We start from the raw sequence: 18,330 nt of genomic DNA on the forward strand, positions 1-18,330 counted from the left end.
ATGGGTTTTTGCCATGTTGCCCAGGCTGGTCTTGAACTCCTGAGCTCAAGTGATCCACCTGCCTTGGTCTCCCAAAGTATTGGGATTACAGGCTTAAGCCACCACACCTAGCTCTCAATTTCTTAATAGTATCTTTTGACATACAAATTTTTAATATTAACAAAGCCCAATGTATTTATTTTTCTTTTGTTGCTTGTGCTTATGATTATTATGATTATTATTTTATTATTTGAGACAGATTCTCAGTCTATCACACAGGCAAGAGGGCAGTGGTGTGATCTCTGCTCACTGCAATTTCTGCCGCCTTAGTTGAAGTGATTCTCATGCCTCAGCCTCCTAAGTAGCTGGGACTACAGTCATGTGCCACCATGCCTGGCTAATTTTTGTATTTTTAGTAGAGACAGGGTTTCAACATGTTTGCGAGCTCATCTTGAACTCCTGGACTGAAGTGATCCACCCACCTTGGCCTCCCGAAGTGCTGGGATTACAGCCACTGTACCTGGCATATTATTATTTTGTTTGTTTTTGTTTGTTTGTTTGTTTTCTTGAGACAGAGTCTTGCTCTGTCACCCAGGCTGGAGTGCAGTGGCGAGTTCTGGGTTCACTGCAACCTCCACCTCCTGGGTTCAAATGATTCTCCTGCCTCAGCTTCCCTAGTAGCTGGGACTACAGGTGCCCGCCACCACACCCGGCTAATTTTTGTATTTAGAGATGGGGCTTCACTATGTTAGCCAGACTGGTCTTGAACTCCTGACCTCAAGTGATCAGCCTACTTCGGCCTCCCAAAGTGCTGGGATTACAGGCATGAGCCACCTCACCTGGCCATATTATTTTTTAATAATAAAAAATTATTCTGCAGTCATCTACAATGCTTGCACCTTTGGTGTCATATCTAAGAAACCCTTGCCTAGTTCAGGCCATGAAGTTATACCTACGTTTTTGTTTAAGAGTTTTATAGTGTTAGTCATTACATTTAGGTCTTTGATTCATTTTCCACTTTAAGTTAATTTTCCATATGGTATGAGGGAGGGATCCAAATTCACTTTTTTGCATGTGGATATTCAGTTGTCCCAACACTATTCCTTGGAAAGATTGTATTTACCCAGTGAATGCTCTTGAAATTTTTTATTGAAAATCAAGTGACCATAGACACATGAGTTTATTTCTGGACACTATTCCACTTATCTACATGTTTATCCATGCCTGTAGTATCACACTGTCCTGTAGTAAGTTTGAAATCAGGAAGTGTGGTTCTCCAACCTTGTTCTTTGTTCTTCTTTTTCAAGATTATTTTAGCTATTCTAGGTCCCTTACAATTCTATGTAAATTTTAAGGATCAGCTTGTCCATTTCAGCAAAAGAGGCACTGGAATTTTGATAGTGTACTGAATTTGTAGATCACTTTGGGTAGTATTGCCAATACAATATGAAGTCTTCCAATACATAAACATGGACTATCTTTCCATTTATTTAGGTCCTCATTGATTTCTTTCAACAGTATTGTGCAGTTTTCAGTGTACTTCTTTAAAATTTATTCCTAATTTAAATATTTAATAAAATAATCAAATAAAAATATTTGATTGCGTTTGATGCTATCACAAATGGAATAGTTTTATTAATTTCCATTTTGGGTTGTTTACTGCAAAGTGTTTAAGAATAGGACTGATATTTGTATATTGATCTTATATACTGCAAACTTGCTCAATTTATTAGCTTTTAGTTTTTTTTTTTTTGTGAGATGGAGTCTTGCTCTGTTGCTCAAGCTGGAGTGCAGTGGCACCATCTCGTCTCACTGCAATCTCCGTCTCCTGGGTTCAAGCAATTCTCCTGCCTCAGCCTCCCAAGAGGCTGGGACTATAGGCGCACGCCGCTATGCCCAGATAATTTTTTGTATTTTAGTAGAGATGGGGTTTCACCATGTTGCCCAGGCTGGTCGTGAACTTCCTTAGCTCAGGCAATCCGCCTGCCTTGGCCTCCCAAAGTGCTGAGATTACAGGCATGAGCCACCACGCCTGGCCTTAGTTTTTATTTTTTAAAGTTGGATTCTTTAGAGTTTTCTCTGTAAAAAATTGTGTTATTTGCAAATAAAGATAGATTTCTTTCTTCTTTTCCAATCTGAATGCCTTTTATTTCTTTCTCTTGCCAAATTGCCATTGCTAGAGCCTCCAGTACAAAGTTTAAAAGTAGTGGTGAGAGCAGACCTTCTTTTCTCTTTTTTGAAAACGTTCAGGCTTTCACCATTAAGTATGATGTTAGTTGTGGGTTTTCCATAGATGCTCTTTATCAAGTTCAGGAATTTCCTTGCTATTCCTAGCTTATTGAATGTTTTTACTAAGAAAGGGTGTTAGATTTTGTTAAATATCTTTCTGTATCTGTTGAGATGATTATGTAGTTTTTGTTTTTATTCTGTTGATATGGCATATTACATTAATTGATTTCTGTATATAAACTGACCTTGTATTCCTGAGATAGACTCCACTCGGTTGTGATATAGAATCCTTTATATGTACTACTGGATTTGGTTTGCTAGTATTTTATTGAGGGTTTTTGCATCTGTATTTTTTTTTTTTTTTTCGAGACAGAGGTCTCATTCTATTACCCAGCCTGGAGTGCAGAGGTGCAATTGTAGCTCACTGTAGCCTTGACCTCCCGGGCTCAAGGGATCCTCCTGCCTTAGCTTCCTTAGTAACTGGGACCACAGGTGGACACCACCATGCCCCGGCTAATTTTTAAATTTCTTTTGTAGAGACTGGGTCTTGCTACGTTGCCTAGGCTGGTCTCAATCTCCTGGGCTCAAGCGATCCTCCTGCCTTGGCTTCCTAAAGTGCTTAGAGTATAGGTGTCAGCCACCGTGTCCAGTCTTGCATCTGTATTTTTTTTTTTTTTGAGACAGAGTTTTGCTCTTGTTGCCCAGGCTGGAGTGCAATGGCATGATCTCGGCTCACCACAGCCTCTGCCTCCTGGGTTCAAGCGATTCTCCCGCCTCAGCCTCCCGAGTAGCTGTGATTACAGGCATGCGCCATCACGCCTGGCTAATTTTGTATTTTTAATAGAGACGAGGTTTCTCCATGTTGGTCAGGCTGGTCTCGAACCCCCAACCTCAGGTGATCCACCCACCTTGGCCTCCCAAAGTGCTGGGATTACAGGCATGAGCCACCACACCTGGTGCATCTGTATTCTTAAGGGATATTCTTCTTTAGTTTTATTTTCTTGTAATTCTTTGTTATGCTTTCAGTATCGGTGATACAGACATCACAGAGTGAGTTTGGGAGTGTTCCCTCCTCTTCTATTTTTTGGGAGAGTTTCTCAAGAATTGGTGTTTTATCTTATTTAAGCATTTGGCAGAATTTACCAGTGAAGCCATCTGGTCATGGGCTTTTCTTTCTGTGAAAAAAATTTTTTTTTTAATTACTGAATCAACTTCTTTAGTTGTTATGCATGTATTCAGATTTTCTATTTCTTCTTTTATTATTTTGGTTGATTGTATCTTTCTAGGAATTTTTCTATTTAATCTGAGTTATCTCATTTGTTGGAATGCAGTTGTTCATAGTGTTTACTTATAATCCATTTTTATGCCTTGTGAGATTGGTAGTAATATTTAGTCTTTCATTTCCAATTTGAGTAATTTGAATTTTCTCTCTTTTTTCTTGATTGATCTAAAATAAAATTTTGTTAATTTGTTGACTTTTTCAAATAATCAACTTTTGGTTTTGTTGATTTAAGAAAATTCTCTATTTAGTTTATTTCTGCCCTAATATTTATTATTTCCTTCCTTCTGCTTGCTTTGGGCTTAGGTCGCTCTCCTTTTTCTATTTTTATAAGTTGAAATGTTAGGTTATTGACCTAAGATCTTTTTTTGTTTATAAAATAGGCATTTACCATTATAGGTGTCCCCTGCTTTCACTGCATTTCTTAAGTTTTAGTATGTCGTATTTTCATTTTATCTCAAAATATTATGTAATGTCCCTTATGACTTATTCTTTGACCCATTGGTTATTAGAAGTATTTTGTTTAATTTCCACTTATTTTTAATTTTCCAAATTTCCTTCTGTTATGGGTTTCTTTTTCTTTCTTTTTTTTTTTTTTGAGATGGAGTCCCGCTCTGTTGCCCAGGCTGGAGTGCAGTGGCGTGATCTTGGCTCACTGCAAGCTCCGCCTCCCGGGTTCACACCATTCTCCTGCCTCAGCCTCCCGAGTAGCTGGGACTACAGGCACCCGCCACCACGCTTGGCTATTTTTTTTTTTTTTTGTATTTTTGGTAGAGACGGGGTTTCACCGTGTTAGCCAGGATGGTCTTGATCTCGACCTCGTGATCCGCCTGCCTCAGCCTCCCAAAGTGCTGGGATTACAGGCGTGAGCCACCATGCCCGGCCCCTGTTATTGGTTTCTAAAGTTATTCCACTTTGGTGAGAGAATATACTGTGTATGATTTCATTCCTTTTAAATTTATTAAAGCTTGCTTTGTGGAATAATATGTGATTGATCCTGGAGAATGTTCCATGTGTGAAAGTGATTTAATAAATAAACATTTGAGAAAGTTTCCAGCTTTAATTTTGAAGATGGTAAATATTGATAGATACAATTCACACACACAAAAGCTCTTGGGGTTCTCTTTTTTTTTTTTTTTTTTTGAGTCAGAGTCTCGCACTGTCTCCCAAGCTGGAGTTCAATGGCGCCATCTCGGCTCACTGCAACCTCCGCCTCCTGGGTTCAAGCGATTCTCCTGCCTCAGCCTCCTGAGTAGCTGGGATTACAGGCGCCTGCCACCATGCCTGGCTAATTTTTTGTATTTTTAGTAGAGACGGGGTTTCACCATGTTGGTCAGGCTGGTGTCGAACTCATGACCTCAGGTAATCCGATCGCCTCAGCCTCCCAAAGTGCTGGGATTACAGGCGTGAGCCACTGCAACTGGCCCACACTTTTAAAAATTATTAAGCCAAGGCGGGCAGATTACGTGAGGTCAGGTGTTTGAGACCAGCCTGACCAACATGGTGAAACCCCATCTCCACTGAAAATACAAAAAATTAGCTGGGTGTGCTGGCAGGCGCCTGTAATCCCAGCTACTTGGGAGGCTGAGGCAGGAGAATCGCTTGAATGTGGAAGGCGGAGGTTGCAGTGAGCCAAGATCGCACCACTGCACTCCAGCTGGGTGCGACAGAGGAAGACGCCATCTCAAAAAAAAAAAAAAAAAAAAAAAGTGTGAATAGCTCCTAACACCAAAATGTTTGATAACCACTGACCTAAAGGAATGGTGGGAAATGACTCTGGATAAAAATTCAACTCAGAAATGTTTGCTTGGTGAATGAATATGAATTTTCTTCTGTAATCAGTGGGAAATCAATGGAGGTTTTTAGAAGGAATTAGTAATTATATCGATTGCATCCCCGGGGCGTAGAGCAATTCCTTGTACTTAGTAGCTCAGCAAATATTTGTCGGATGGTAGTCAGAAGTATGGACTGAGAAACTGAGAGACTAGCTGTGGAAACACTTGTTTGTTTTTAGAATTCTAGGCAAAAATGCTTAGATGAATGAAGGCCATTCTGAGAAATTATGTACCAATTCCCTAATTACTTTTTTTTTTTTTTTTGAGACTGAGTCTGGCTCTGTTGCCCAGGCGATCTTGGCTCACTGTAACCTCCGCCTCCTGGGTTCAAGTGATTGTTGTGCCTCAGCCTCCTCAGTAGCTGGGATTACAGGTGGGCGCCACCATGCCCAAGGTTTTTGTAGTTTTAGTAGAGATGGGTTTTGCCATGTTGGCCAGGATGGTCTCAAACTCCTGACTTCAAGTGGTCCACCCATCTGGGCCTCCCAAAATGTTGGCTTATAGGCTTGCACCACTGCGCTCCGCCTAATTATGTTTTTTGGGACAGGGTCTTGCTCTGTCACCCAGGCTGGAGTGCAGTGGTGCCATCATAGCTCACTGCACCCTTGAACTCCTGGTTCAAGTGATCCTCCTGGCTTAGCCTCTTGAGTTGCTTGGACTACAGGCATGTGCCACCATGACAGGCTAATTACATTTATTTATTTATTTATTTATTTATTTATTTGTAGAGATGAGAATCTTACTATTTTGTGCAGGCAGATCTTGAACTCCTACCCTCAAGTGATCTTCCCACCTCAGCCTCCCAAAGTGTTGGGATTACAAGTGTGAGCCACCACGCACAGCCCCTTATTACCTTTAATTTCTGCCGTAATCATTACAGCAAATGTGAAATATTTCCTGGATATTTCTGTGGATATTTCTGGATATTTGTGTGTGTGTGGTTTTTTGTTTGTTTGTTTGTTTTAGGAGACAGGGTCTCACTCTTCCCTCAGGCTGGAGTGCAGTGGTGTGCTCATAGCTCACTGCAGCAGCCTCAAACTCCTGGGCTCAAGCAATCTTCCCACTTCAGCCTCCCAAGTAGCTGAGACCAGATGAGCGGATCACCCTCCCTGGCTAATTTTTCTTTTTTCTTTTTTTTTTTTTTTTAGAGACAAAGTCTCGCCATGTTTTCCAGGCTGGTCTTGAACTCCTGGCCTCAAGTGATTCTCCTACCTTGGCTTCCCAAACTGCTGGGATTATAGATGTGAGCCACCACGTGTGGTATATTTCGGATTTTTTTTTTCAATAGAACATTCAATGTCTTACCAACAATTTAATGTGGGTTTTGAATGAATATAATCAATCCGTTTTCAATGCTTTTATTCAGATAAGTTTGTAGTTTGAACAAATAGAAAGTCAAACATATATTCTGAGTACAAAACAGCTTCAAGGGATTCACTGCAGCGATAATCACAGTATCTCTTCTTTAAAATAGGAAATCCTGCTTGGGATTTCTACGTACTTTAAAATGTTAATTTAAATCAATGTAACTTTGCATATACTGTGGGAATATTTTGAGGTTACACAGTGGATTCCAGCAGAAAGCAGCTGGCACACTCAAAATAGGATAAATTAGGGTGTTTTTATTTATGTAGGAAGTATTTACAGAGGTAAATAAAGAGGGTAGGAAACTGCGGGGATGGAAAAAGCAAAAAAAAAGAAGTATGTGTGGAATGTAGGGCACAGGTATAGGCTCTAACTTTGAGATAGGATATACCCCTTCCTCTGACCCTACAGGAAAGTGTTAAAAAACAGATGTAGAGATGGATATATTGCCATCAAAAGGTGATGGTAAGGCATTTGCTGCTTGTCTGAGACTAGGCTAGAGCTCTTTCCCTGATTCTTACTGTTTGCCCAAGGCCTGTTACCTGGTAAGGGAGCGAATTTATCCTCATCTTGCAGCCAAAGAAGAAGTAATTTTTATCATTGCAAGGAAATATTACACCCAATCCATGTGTCAGGTCTACTATTCTAATATTCATTTTCCTGTGCACATCAGATACCACAAAGTCTAGGTTCCAGGATCACTGAGGTACCCCTGTCTCCATTAGTAGAGATAATTTGTTGCACTGATAGATAAAAAGTACAGTGTAGCTGTACTGAAAATGACATGGAACTGCTTTCTCAACCCATAATTTTTTTCTACCCAACAATCTCCTCTCCCTTCCTCTGAGCAGATGACTTTCTCCCCCTTAATTGAGATAAATAAGACCTTCAGAACAAAACTCTATTCCTTTCTCCCCATCTTCACCTTTCCCCCTTTAGTTTCAGGGATTAGGTGTTCACCTGGGCTCTGCAGTTCTCATTTCATTCTTTGTCGTTGCTATTTTACTTTATCATCTATTTCCTCTCCCTTCTGTATTTTCAACCTCTTTCCCCCATTGCCTCCTATTGCTAAGCCTGTAAGACGTTTTCATCCTAAAATGTCAACAACAACCAGAATGCCCACCACAATAATTAAAGGAGAATGTTCTGCTGTCTGCACATCAGTTCTATTGCCTACTGCCTTTCTCTCTCTCTCATGCTCTCTCTCTTTTTGAGATAGCATCTTACCTGTCATCCAGCCTAGAGTGCTGTGGTATGATTATAGCTCACTGCAGCCTCAAACTGCAGGGCTCAAGTGATCCTCACATCTCAGCCTCTCAAAGTGCTGGGATTACAGGCATGAGACACAGCACCTGGCCCCTTATCTCTCTTTTCTTGCTCAGTCAAGCTTCTTTAAAGTATGAGCTACAAAGGATAGGATACAGAATTTTCAGAGCCCAGGACAAATGAAAATGAATGGTTACTTGTTCAAAATTATTAAGAATTTCAAGATGGCAACCTCAGAGTATTAAACAACTCATGGGGACTGGGGCCCTATGTGACTGCATAGGTTGCCCATCACAAAGCTGACTCAGAATCTACACTTCTCTTTTTTACTTACTGAACTCCCATTCCCTCCTCACCCACTGCAATTTACCTTTTACCTCCATCTTAATGCTGGAGGTAAAACCTCCACCTTGGATTCTCCACCTAGCTAAAATCGTTAAATATTTTTCAGTTCTTATATTTATCTTTTTGCATTAACCTAATCTTCCCATATATTTCTATCTCCCATCCATAATCATGGTTGTTAAAAAATTACTTGTTGAATGAATGAATGACCAATCTTTGACTCCTGTTTGTTGGATTCTCAGGGTCCTGACTATCTTATCATTTTATGCCATACATCTACCCTAGTTAGTCCCTCCAGGTTTACATGTAAGCTTGTGAGTTTGAAACCTATATGTAAATTGATGACTTCAAACTCTCTATCTCTAGCTTTTCCCCTAACTTTAGACTCATCTATCTATCTATCTATCTATCTATCTCCTTTTGCCTCTGAGAAATCTTCATCCGGCTGTCCAATTGATACCTCAATCTCAGCATGTTCAAAACCAAACTCATTACCATCTCCTACTTGAAGCTTTCTCTTTCTGTTGTGGTTCTTTTATTTGTTTATTTATTTAATTTATTTTTTCATTTTTCTTTGAGATGGAGTTTTGCTCTTGTTGCCCAGGCCTGAGTGCAGTGGTGCAATCTCAGCTCACTGCCACCTCCGCCTCCCAGGTTCAAGCGATTCTCCTGCCTCAGCCTCCCGAGTAGCTGGGATTACAGGCATGCGCCACCACGCCCAGTTAATTTTTGTATTTTTAGTAGAAGGGAGTTTCACCATGTTGACCAGACTGGTCTCAAACTCCTGACCTCAGGTGATCCACCTGCCTTGGCCTCCCAAAGTGTTGGGATTACAGGCGTGAGCCACTGTGCCCAGCCCTGACTCTTATTAATTTTTTGTTTTTTAGACGGAGTCTCGCTCTGTCGCCTAGGCTGGAGTGCAGTGGCGCGATCTAGGCTCACTACAAGCTCCGCCTCTCGTGTTCACGCCATTTTCCTGCCTCAGCCTGTCCGAGTAGCTGGGACTACAGGCTCCCGCCACCACGCCCGGCTAATTTTTTTGTATTTTTAGTAGAGACGGGGTTTCACCGTGGTCTCGATCTCCTGACCTCGTGATCTGCCCGCCTCAGCCTCCCAAAATGCTGGGATTACAAGCGTGAGCCACTGCGCCCGGCCCCTGATTCTTATTTTTAATGGTATATCTAGGCACAAAATGCTAGGAAGGACTCATTGAGGGAGGAATTTATATTTTCTAACCAATGTAAGGAGCTCAGGAAAAATATCAAATTTGAAATTGAACTTCAAAGTTGAATAAACTTGGAAAGATAAAAATGAGATGGAAGTTGCATGTAAGATGAACAAAACAAAACAAAACAAAACAAAAAACAAAAAACTAGGGATGGGTTGGAGTAAAAGGATTCCCAGCTCTTGGTACATTATTCTCATGTGAGTCCCCCCACCAACATTGAGTGGGGATCACTTGTGAACCTACAGGATATTGCTGAAATAATGAAGTTTGACTTCTGAGGTTCAGTCATAAATGATATTGTGGCTTCTATCCTGTTCTCTTGGACCACTAGCTCTGGAGCCAGCTGCCGTGGTGTATGACCTGCACACAGCTCTATGGAGAAGTCTATGTGTTGAGGAACTGAGGCTTCTAGAAAACAGCCCATGTGAGTGGCCCATTTTAGATGCAGATCATCTATCCCAGGCAAGCCTTCAGATACTTGTAGTCTTGGCCTATGTGTTGATTCCTGACCCAATACAGAACCACCCAGCCAAGCCACTCCTGAATCCCTCATCCACAGAAACCGTGAAATAATAAATGTTTGGGTTTCTAAGCCATTATGTTTTGGGATAATTTATTATATAGTAATAGATAACTAATGCAGAGGGTTTTTCGTTAGATACATTTTTATATGTATTGAGTTTTGGAACCGTATATCTATAGTTTGAACAGTATAACTAAAAGCAACCACAAAGGGAACTCTGAAAATAAAATCCTTTCCTAAATTCTGCATTGATTTCCCATTACAGTCTTATTTAGAATTAAATAAGAATACTTTGCACTTATCTACCCAGTGTCTATGTGATCTGGCCCCTGCTTCCTTCTTCTGTGTCTCCAGCCAGGAGACATTAATGTTGGTTTCCCTTGACTTCCATCAATGGTCTGACATTTCTGAATTCCAGGAATGACAAAGATTATGTACTCGAAGCAAAACTCTAGCTGCACACCATAAAGCAGCTCTTCAGCAAAAGTGATATGGCCTTTATGTTTTTAACCCAGTAGGACACAGACACTCACACACACACACACTCTCTCTCTCTCACACACACACACACACATATACTCTCTTACAGCTTTATAGAGGTAAAAAGTAAACAGTATATATTTAACATATGTACTTTGACAAATTTAAAATGAAATTTGAAACCATCAATATGCTCAAAGGAATGAACACATCTTTTATGCTTAAAAGTTTCCTCCAAGCCCTTTTGTAATCTCTCCTTCCCCCTCACCTCATCCCAAACTAGTTATCTAGACAGATTATAGAATATTTCCATCGTTACAGAAAATTTATTGGAAAGGGCTTATGTAATTCTTGTAAAGAATACCTCATTTTGTTTGATTGTAGCTAATATACCAGTTGTTACAAAGTCAATGAGTATTGGAACTAGTAGTACCTGCGAACACTTCTATCTATTGACAGTTACTGATGACATAACTTTTGAGTTTTAGAGCTCTTTCTGCTGGATCAGCTGAGGTATGTCAAGTTCATACCATTGTGCAGAGTGTGAAATGCCAATAGTAAAGCATCCTCTTCCTCTAGGAAACTAATTAGAGAAGTTAGCTCCAGAGATTAAAAGAAAGATTCATAGTCTTTGATTGAGGTAGAGGAAAAACAAAAAAACCCAAACTTGCTCCTTCCATTTAATTAGCAGATGGAAGTGTGTCCAGAAATTCTTCTGTGTCCTCTGATCCTTTTTTCCTTTTCTTCTTTTCTCTGTTTGATTATTTAGACCAGGGGTTGGTAACTTCCTTATAAATCCCTCAGAGATGAATGGAATTAGGAAAGGTCTCGTCTGGTCTCTTTCACCTTCACTTGGAGTCCTAGAGTGAGAGGAAAATGGGATAATAGAGTCTCTTCCTAGACAATCCCTCAATTGCTTGTTTCTTGTTACAGAAGTTTATTGTTAAAATTACATGTACAGATAAGCTAAAAGAAGAAAGTAAAAATGATGACTATGCTTCTTACATAGAAATAACTGCTTAATATTGTAGTCTAAACTGAATTCTCACTCTCTTTTATAAAAATGAAAATATACTACACATTTTAGTACTTATGTTACTATAAAATAAACATATATTATCAAGTATCTTCTATAGAACAATTTAAAATAACTAGTGGGCTGGGTGTGGTGGCTCATGCCTGTAATTCCAGCACTTTGGGATGCCAAGGCGGGCAGATCACTTGAGCTCAGGAGTTGGAGACCAGCCTGGGCAACATGGTAAAACCCCGTCTCTACCAAAAATATAAAAATTAGCCAGGCATGGTGGCATGTGCCTGTGGTCCCAGCTACTTGGGAGGCAGACTGGGAGATCGCTTGAGCCCAGGAGGTGGAGGTTGCAGTGAGCTGAGATTGTGCCACTGCACTCCTGCCTGGGCAACAGAGAGAGACCCTGTCTCAAACAAACAAAAAACTAATGGAATTGTATACTGTTGTTTAGCTGTGTCAGCTGCTAGATATTCAAAGTCCTTTTTTTCTAGAAGCTTTGATCCTTGATTTTTTTTTAAAGACACATTTATTCAGCATCATGATCAGACTATTACATTTAGCAATCAACAGCATGGGTGCAATAAAAAATGTACATTAAAACTCTTTGTTGGAATGCTTTACACTTTCCACAGAACAGAAGCTAAAATACAATTAGTCACAAACACAGTTCTCGAGTTTTTTGCCCATACACACGAGCCACTGCCTCAGTCAGTGATGATTTCCATCACTTCGATTATTCAAACTGTTCAAAATAAACTTTTAGTTGATGTTCTTCAGTGTCTTCTTTAATGCCACCAACAAATATCTTTTTCACAGTTAAGTGGGCACCGGGTTTTTGAGAATATTCTCTTGAGACCGCTCTCTTTGGTTCCACAACTCTCCCATCCACCTTGTGTGGCTTTGCATTCACGGCTGCCATCTACCTCCTCCACAGTGGCATACGTGACAAACCCAGAGCCCCCGGAGTGCTTGGTGCTTGCATGTCTACTTACCACACAATCTGTGAGCCTTCTCCACTGCTCAGAAGGGCTCCTCAGGCTCTCATCGGTTGTTTCAAAGCTCAGCCCTCCCATGAAGAGCTTCCGCAGCTGTTCCGGCTCTTTAGGACAGGACGGCCCTGGGAAGAGAGACTTTAACGAGGCTTCCTCAGCGGTATCCACGGGCAGAAAGCAGCCCTTGATTTTTTTTTAATAGTCTTGTATTTAAGGACAAATATAGATAAGTAATTCCTAGCAATGTTAGAGTCAAGATTGCCAGTTTACAAAAGGAGGAAAATTAAGTGCCTCTGAAGTTGCTGAAATATTTAGCTGGGAGGGGTGGCACAAGCCAGATACTCGGGAGGCTAAGGTGGGAGGATTGCTTGATCTCAGAGTTTCAGTTCAGCCCGGGCAACATAGAGACATAGTCTCTTAAAAAAAAATATTACTAGTTTAAGATGCATTTTTTTTATTTTGAATTCTGAATGATGTTTACTAACTTGGAATGGATGGAAACCTAATCTGGGGGTGGGAATGTGCCAGCTGTTCAATGATTCAGAAAAATAAGAATGTTGGTTCAGGATCAGAATCAAAGGATGCCGTATTTAATTGAAACTTTGGGAAAATTTATGTAGGCAAAATGAATTATCCAAATTAAAATTAAGCCAAAACGCCAGGTTTAATGCATTAATAATAGAATTTTTTTTTTTTAAAATGAAGCAAAAAACCTAGGTTCTGTTGATTTTGTCACTTACCGTAGGCAGATAATATTTAATGTAGTTTTAGGAACCCTGAGAATAGGAAGAATATTTCTGGATAAATTCCAAAAAAAGAAACACACCAGTGTCTTGTACAAAGGATGAAAGCCTTTATTAGCTTGTAACAAAATACATTGGAGTGCACACTATGTCACCAGGCTGGACTGGCCTATACCTCCTATCCCCTGGAGAAGAAACTGAATGGCTGCAATGTGCTCCGTGTGGCTACTGGACACTTTCTGGTTTACTTGGTTAGTCTTTTTTTTTTTTTTTTTTTTTTTTTTTTTTTTTTTTTTGAGATGGAGTTTCACTCTTTTGCCCAGGCTGGAGTGCAGTGGTGCGATCTTGGCTCACTGCAACCTCCGTCTCCCTGGTTCAAGCGATTCTCCTGCCTCAGCCTCCTGAGTAGCTGGGATTATAGGCACCCACCACTACACCTGTCTAATTTTTGTATTTTTAGTAGAGATGAGGTTTTGCCATGTTGGCCAGGCTGGTCTCGAACGCCTGACCTCAAGTGATCCACCCACATTGGCCTCCCAAAGTGCTGGGATTACAGGCATGAGCCACCGCACCCGGCCTGCTTGATCAGTCTTGTTCCAACCTGCGGAGTTGCATGTACAGATAGGTTATGATCATGTGTGCTGCTTTTCATTTGCATTTATGATTATAATTATGCAATTTAATTAAATATTATATGAGCAGATGAAACATATTTGAAAACAAAAGTTATTCTTTCTATGAAAAATGGAATGTTTAGTAAAAACGATAAAAGTGAATCAGGGTGGGCCAGAAAACTGTAACGAGATTAGAAAGAAATTCATCGAAATCTTTAAGGAATCTGTATTCATACTGCCTACATTTAGCTTGACATTTCCCTTGACTTTTTTCCCCTCTCCACTTTAAAAAAGCTAAAATTTGGAATAGACTATCCATTGGAGATGTGGGTTTTGCAAGGAAGAGGACTTAGAACTCCATATTGCAGTCATGCAATCAGAGAAAGGCTGTTGGCCTTTACTCATGAATGAAATGGTAAATAAATACACTTTAAATCAAAGTAAAATGTTTACATTATAAATATATATAAAAATATCATTCATTCATATATATATGTATATATATGTATATATATGTGTATATATATATATAAAATGATTCTCAATTCTTTTTCACCTGGGCCTGATTGCTCTAGATAAGGAATGTGAGCTTATACTATGAATATTTTTAAATAGAGATTTAAACAATTAATAAGGCTTCAGCCAAATTTGGTCTCATAGCACAAATTCCTCTGAGTGACTATGAAAATATGACTTAGATCAATCAATACTTTTGATAAGTAATTATGAGAAACTTGAGATTGTGATAAAAGATTTTCAAATAAGTGATAGATGACAAAATAAATTTGTATCTTTAAAATTTTTCTGTAGTTTTGTTATCCCCAAAATGAAACAAACTGGCCTACATTGATTTAAATTATTCTACTTTTTGGCCTGTGGGTAATAGAATAGATCAGGAGTTTGATTATTTAGAGTAGGCGACTTTTTTGGTAAAGGGCTAGGTAGGAAATATTTTTGGTTTTGTGGATCTTGTGGTTGTTACTCAACTGTGCTCTTGTAGCTAAAGCACCCATAGACAATATGCAAACAAATCAGAATGGTTGTGTTCCAATAAAACTTTTTTATGGGTGTTAAAATTTGAATTTCATATCATTTTCATATGTCATGAAATATTATCCTCCTTTAGTTTTTTTTTCAGACATTAAAAAGTATAAAATCCATTCTTAGCTCATAGTCTGTCCTCTGTCCAAAAATATGTGGAAGGCTGCACTTGGCCTGCTGACCATTGTTTCTCTCCCCTGCTCTAGCCTCATTCTAGCTCTCCAGCACTGCCTTTCTCACGACCCTATAATCTAGCTGCTTTTAGTGTCACAGAAACACAGTGTGTTCACATTTGCTTACATATATTTTGCTTATATTTTTTCCTGCTGGGAACACTTTCTGTTCTGTTTTCTAATCCAAAAATCAGCTTAATGTTTCTGTCTTTCATGATAATTTTCACAGCTTCACTAGCCCTCAGGTGTGTCCCTCACCTCCAAATTCCCTTTAGCACCTTTGATCTTTTTTCATATGATTAGTGTGAATTCGTCTTTTATTATTTCAGATATGTGAGCTTTGATTCTTCTTTTGATTATAACTTATTAGAACAGAAGCCATGTATTATACTTCCTCTTATTTCTCTCAGCATAGCGCTGGGCACATAGAAGTATTAACACTAGATTGACATGTTTGCTATCAAAATACAATATATATTATTCTTTTATTAAGTTTTAAAGCATTTTTATGTGGGTTTTTGGTCTCAATACTTGCCCTTTTTTTCTCTGTCTTCACTTAATCTTTCCCCACTGACTTCCTTCCCTGTCCGTAATCACGCTCAACTCTTTATTTAAAAATTAAATAAGCAGGGCCGGGCGTGGTGGTTCACGCCTGTAATCCCAGCACTTTGGGAGGCTGAGGCGGGTGGATCACGAGGTCAGGAGTTCGAGACCAGCCTGGCCAACATGTTGAAACCCTGTCTCTACTAAAAATATAAAAATTAGCTGGGTGTGGAGGCACGCGCCTGTAATCCCAGTTACTCGGGAGGCTGAGGCAGGAGAATCGCTTGAACCCGGGAAGCCGAGGTTGCAGTGAGCCGAGATCATGCCATTGCACTCCATCCTGGGCAACAGGGCAAGACTCCATCAAAAAAAAAAAAAAAATTAGCCGGGCATGGTGGCTCACGCCTGTAATCCCAGCACTTTGGGAGGCGGAGGTGGGCAGATCACGAGGTCAGGAGATTGACACCATCCTGGCTAACATGGTGAAACCCCGTCTCTGCTAAAAATACAAAAAAATTAGCCGGGCGTGGTGGCGGGCACCTGTAGTCCCAGCTACTCGGAAGGCTGTGGGAGGAGAATGGCGTGAACCTGGGAGACAGAGCTTGCAGTGAGCCCAGATCGCACCACTGCACTCCAGCCTGGGGGACAGAGCAAGACTCTGTCTCAAAAAAAAAAAAAAAAAAAAAAAAAAAAATTAAATAAGCAGCGCAACCTTCCATTGACATTGATACTCATCTATTCCTTACCAAGTTTTTCTCTGAGATGGTATTTTTTGAACATCTAAAAGGAAGATATATACATGAGGTAAGCCCTTGCTTCTGTCTGGGAACAGTTTTCTGCCCTGGCACATGGAAGTGGAGCCTCTGCAGAGCTCAGTCTCACTGGGCTGGCTGAGGAGGCAGGGATTAGAGTTTGAGTATGCTGAGGCAGCTGGAATTTGCAAGGCGGGTCTTTAGAGAGGATGGCAGTCACAGAAGTCTGTCTGGGGACTTGCTGCTCAACATCATTTGCCAAAAGCTGATCTGCACGTGTATAGGTCAAGACTCCATGAGGCCTAGGAGAAATTGCCAGCAGCAGGGCTGAGGGCTGAATGGTGATACAGAGGTTTTACTGTGCTGGGAGATGTTCAAGTTCTGGCTCAGCTAGAATATAAATACCACATTAGGTACCTTAAGTGTTCTGTTGAGACACCAAAAAGGCCGCACTCCAGAGTAAGCTATGCCCTAAGTCTAAGTTCAAGACAAATAGACTGGGTGGGTGTGGTGGCTCACTCCTGTAATCCCAGGACTTAGGGAGGCCGAGGCGGGCAGATCACGAGGTCAGGAGTTCGAGACCAGCCTGACCAACATGGTGAAACTCGTCTCTATTAAAAATACAAAAATCAGCTCGGTGTGGTGGCGCGCGCCTGTAATTCCAGCTACTCAGGAAGCTGAGGCAGGAGAATCGCTTGAACCTGGGAAGTGGAAGTTGCAGTGAGCCAAGATAGCGCCACTGCACTCCAGCTTGGGCGACAGAGCGAGACTCTGTCTCAAAACAAACAAACAAACAGACAAAAAACAAATAGACTTTCCCTAAAAAAGAATGTAAAATTGATCCGGATGGAGCCAAAGTGATCTACCAATAATTTAACTGCCTTCCAGAAAAAAAGCTCAACACACTTTAAAGGAAGACCACATAGTCCAGAATCTCTACCATGTTCACCATATGATAAAAAAAATTACTAATCATGTGAAGAAGTGGAATGAGACCTACAATCACAAAAAAATGCAGTCAATAGAAACAGAAACTGAGATGACCTAGATGTTGCCATCCCACAGAAACCTGTAATGCGTTCTCCCAATTTTTTGCTAATATTTAACACATTCGTCAAGATCTTATTCAAATGGTAGGTTTTTTTCAAGAGGCTTCCCTGAATTCCTCCAATATGAAATAATTTATTTCTCTTTTGACTTCTCACTGGTTTATGTCTCTCCTGTGATACCTAATTATATTATAGTCATCTGCGTACTTATTTTCTTTCCTTGGCTGAGGCCAAGGATTTGTATTTTCTCATCTTTTTAGTTACTGATGTATTTAGCCACCAAAGTCATGTACAGATGGTCCCCAACTTACAATGCTTTGACTTACAATTTTTCAACTTTACAATGATGTGAAAGCTAGACGGATTCAGTAGAAAACTACTTCAAATTTTAAATTTTGATGTTTCCCCAACTGTAGGCTAATGTAAGTGTTCTGAGTTCTGAGCACGTTTGAGATTGGCAAGGCTAAGCTACGCTGTTTGGTAGGTTAGGTGTATTAAGTGCATTTTTGACTTATGGTACTTTCAGTTTATGATGTGTTTATCAGCACATAGTTTCATTGTAACTTGAGGAGCATCTGTAGTAAGCACTCAATAATTATTTTTGAATATATGAATAAAAGATATGTGTTTCATATTTCCCTGTTGTTTTAAAACCATATACACTCTTCAATTTTTGTATTTACTCATGTGCAGATAGGTATGAGTGAAAAATCCATCTTAATGTTAGTTTAAATTATGAGTTTTCATAGAGGTTTCCATGAATTAGCAGACTAAAGAGATTGGTCTTCTTTCCTGTTGTACAAATAAAAAAAAAAGCAGTTGGTTATTGTTTTTATTCCAGAATATTAAATATAAATTTATTTGTGT

General features: G+C 40.0%; 1 protein-coding gene and 1 long non-coding RNA gene across 45 annotated transcripts in view; one reads left to right on the plus strand and one right to left on the minus strand.

Moving 5' to 3' along the window:
* The window catches only part of ANK2 (ankyrin 2), a 678,115-nt gene that overhangs the window by 163,848 nt on the left and 495,937 nt on the right, over nt 1–18,330 (plus strand). The gene's annotated exons all lie outside the window — the stretch shown is intronic.
* LOC102723896 (uncharacterized) lies at nt 10,644–16,484 on the minus strand. Of its 2 annotated transcripts, XR_007058233.1 has the most exons (3): nt 16,409–16,484; nt 12,549–12,686; nt 10,644–11,389 (listed from the first exon to the last, which is right to left on the minus strand). It is a non-coding gene; the product is annotated as an uncharacterized LOC102723896 (long non-coding RNA). The 2 variants fall into 2 exon arrangements; XR_427577.3 differs by lacking the exon at nt 16,409–16,484 and having other exon boundaries at nt 12,549–12,947.

The sequence above is a fragment of the Homo sapiens genome, chromosome 4 (genome assembly GCF_000001405.40).
Source record: "Homo sapiens chromosome 4, GRCh38.p14 Primary Assembly".
Lineage (NCBI taxonomy): Eukaryota > Metazoa > Chordata > Mammalia > Primates > Hominidae > Homo > Homo sapiens.